The sequence below is a fragment of the Homo sapiens genome, chromosome 6 (assembly GCF_000001405.40).
Source record: "Homo sapiens chromosome 6, GRCh38.p14 Primary Assembly".
In the NCBI taxonomy this organism is placed as follows: domain Eukaryota; kingdom Metazoa; phylum Chordata; class Mammalia; order Primates; family Hominidae; genus Homo; species Homo sapiens.
Genome location: NC_000006.12, coordinates 109,855,398 through 109,858,058, shown reverse-complemented (window position 1 = coordinate 109,858,058; position 2,661 = coordinate 109,855,398). Strand labels below are relative to the sequence as shown.

The 2,661-nt window shown below is 45.0% G+C and overlaps 2 annotated features.

Annotated features, from left to right (window-relative positions):
* Positions 1,404–1,919: an enhancer, noted in NCBI's record as "OCT4-NANOG-H3K27ac hESC enhancer chr6:110177343-110177858 (GRCh37/hg19 assembly coordinates)". NCBI's record gives its function as "activates a minimal SCP1, AML or CMV promoter by ChIP-STARR-seq in naive H9 embryonic stem cells {active_cell/tissue: H9 hESC(naive)}" and the evidence as "EXISTENCE:reporter gene assay evidence [ECO:0000049][PMID:30033119]".
* Positions 1,920–2,435: an enhancer, noted in NCBI's record as "OCT4-NANOG-H3K27ac-H3K4me1 hESC enhancer chr6:110176827-110177342 (GRCh37/hg19 assembly coordinates)". NCBI's record gives its function as "activates a minimal SCP1, AML or CMV promoter by ChIP-STARR-seq in naive and primed H9 embryonic stem cells {active_cell/tissue: H9 hESC(naive and primed)}" and the evidence as "EXISTENCE:reporter gene assay evidence [ECO:0000049][PMID:30033119]".

Genomic DNA, 2,661 nt, shown 5'->3' with positions numbered 1-2,661 from the left:
ATTCTCATAAAAACACACGTGCTCTCCCTGCTGATCGTGTCCGATTAATCTCTCAAACCTCAATCCCTTACAAAACAACAAATCCTTTCCTCCTAGGCATGGTTAGTGTGGTCAGAATTCTTACACAAGAGCCAGGACCTCACTCTGTAGCCTTTCTGTGCAAACAACTTGACCTTACTGTTTTAGCCTAGCCCTCATGTCTGCGTGCAGTGGCTGCTGCCGCCCTAATACTTTTAAAGGCCCTAATACTTTTAGAGGCCCTCAAAATCACAAACTATGCTCAACTTACTCTCTACATTTCTCATAACTTCCAAAATCTATTTTCTTCCTCATACCTGATGCATATACTTTCTGCTCCCTGGCTCCTTCAGCTGTACTCACTCTTTAAGTCCCACAATTACCATTGTTCCTGGCCCGGACTTCAATCCGGCCTCCCACATTATTCTGGATACCACACCTGAGCCTCATGACTGTACCTCTCTGATCCACCTGACATTCACCCCATTTCCCCATATTTCCTTCTTTCCTGTTCCTCACCCTGATCATGCTTATCTATTGATGGCAGTTCCACCAGGCCTAATAGCCACACACCAGCAAAGGCAGGCTATGCTATAGTACAAGCCACTAGCTCACCTCTTAGAACTTCTCATTTTCTTTCCATCGTGGAAATCTATCCTCAAGGAAATAACTTCTCAGTGTTCCATCTGCTATTCTACTACTCCTCAGGGATTATTCAGGCCCCCTCCCTTCCCTACACATCAAGCTCGAGGATTTGCCCCCACCCAGGACTGGCAAATTAGCTTTACTCAACATGCCCCGAGTCAGATAACTAAAATACCTCTTAGTCTAGGTAAACACTTTCACTGGATAGGTAGAGGCCTTTCCTACAGGGTCTGAGATGGCCACCACGGTCATTTCTTCCCTTCTGTCAGACATAATTCCTCAGTTTAGCCTTCCCACCTCTATACAGTCTGATAACAGACCAGCCTTTATTAGTCAAATCAGCCAAGCAGTTTTTCAGGCTCTTAGTATTCAGTGAAACCTTTATATCCCTTACGGTCCTCCATCTTCAGGAAAAGTAGAACGGACTAAAGGTCTTTTAAAAACACACCTCACAAAGCTCAGCCACCAACTTAAAAAGGACTGGAGAATACTTTTACCACTTTCCCTTCTCAGAAGTCAGACCTGTCCTTGGAATGCTACAGGGTACAGCCCATTTGAGCTCTTGTATAGATGCTCTTTTTTAGTAGGCCCCAGTCTCATTCCAGACACCAGACTAACTTAGACTGTGCCCCAAAAAAACTTGTCATCCCTCCTATCTTCTCTGTAGTCATACTCCTATTCACCCTTCTCAACTACTCATACATGCCCTGCTCTTGTTTACACTGCCGGTTTACACTGTTTCTCCAAGCCATCACAGCTGATATTTCCTGGTGCTATCCCCAAACTGCCACTCTTAACTCTTGAAGTAAATAAATAATCTTAGCTGACAGGATTATGCTGAACCTCCTTAGGCACTTCCTAATTAGATGTCCTAGGTCCTCCCAATTCTTAGTCCTTTAATACCTGTTTTTCTCCTTCTCTTATTCCGTTTAGTTTTTCAATTCACACAAAACTGTATCCAGGCCATCACCAATAATTCTAAATGACAAATGTTTCTTCTAACAACCCCACGATATCACCCCTTACCACAAAATCTTCCTTCAGCTTAATCTCTCCCACTCTAGGTTCCCACGCCGCCCCTAATCCCGCTCGAAGCAGCCGTGAGAAACATCGCCCATTATCTCTCCATACCACCCCAAAAAAATTTTCACCGTCCCAACACTTTACCACTGTTTCATTTTATTTTTCTTATTAATATAAGAAGACAGGAATGTCAGGCCTCTGAGCCCAAGCTAAGCCATCATATCCCCGTGACCTGCAAGTACACATCCAGATGGCCAGTTCCTGCCTTAACTGATGACATTCCACCACAAAAGAAGTGAAAATGGCCTGTTCCTGCCTTAACTGATGACATTGTCTTGTGAAATTCCTTCTCCTGGTTCATCCTGGCTCAAAAGCTCCCCCACTGAGTACCTTGTGACCCCCACTCCTGCCCGCCAAAGAACAAACCCCCTTTGGCTGTAATTTTCCTTTACCTGCCCAAATCTTATAAAACGGCCCCACCCTATCTCCCTTCGCTGACTCTCTTTTCGGACTCAGCCCGCCTGCACCCAGGTGAAATAAACAGCCATGTTGCTCATACAAAGCCTGTTTGGTGGTCTCTTTACACGGACGCGCATGAAACTCTTGAGCTGAGGCAATCCACCTGCCTTGGCCTCCCAAAGTGCTGGGATTATAGGTGTGAGCCATCACGCCCAAGGAAGGTCAGATCTTACAAGTAAACAGGTTAGGTTTCAGTTTGGTGACATGGAATCTTAGCACAGGTGACTCCATCTTGGGTTCATATGTTGGGGCCTAATGCAGCAGCTCAGTCCAAATTAGTGGGCTCCCATAGATTTTATTTAACACTAGTTAAGAGGATAATAGATTTTCCTTGAAAGTGCCCTGGAGCAGAGCCAGTTTCATGGGCATGTGACTTGTGCATGCGTACAGGGCTGGATGTTTAGAAGGATCCTATGTTTAATTTAATGCACTACTGTTGCTCCCTTGAAATTCTTG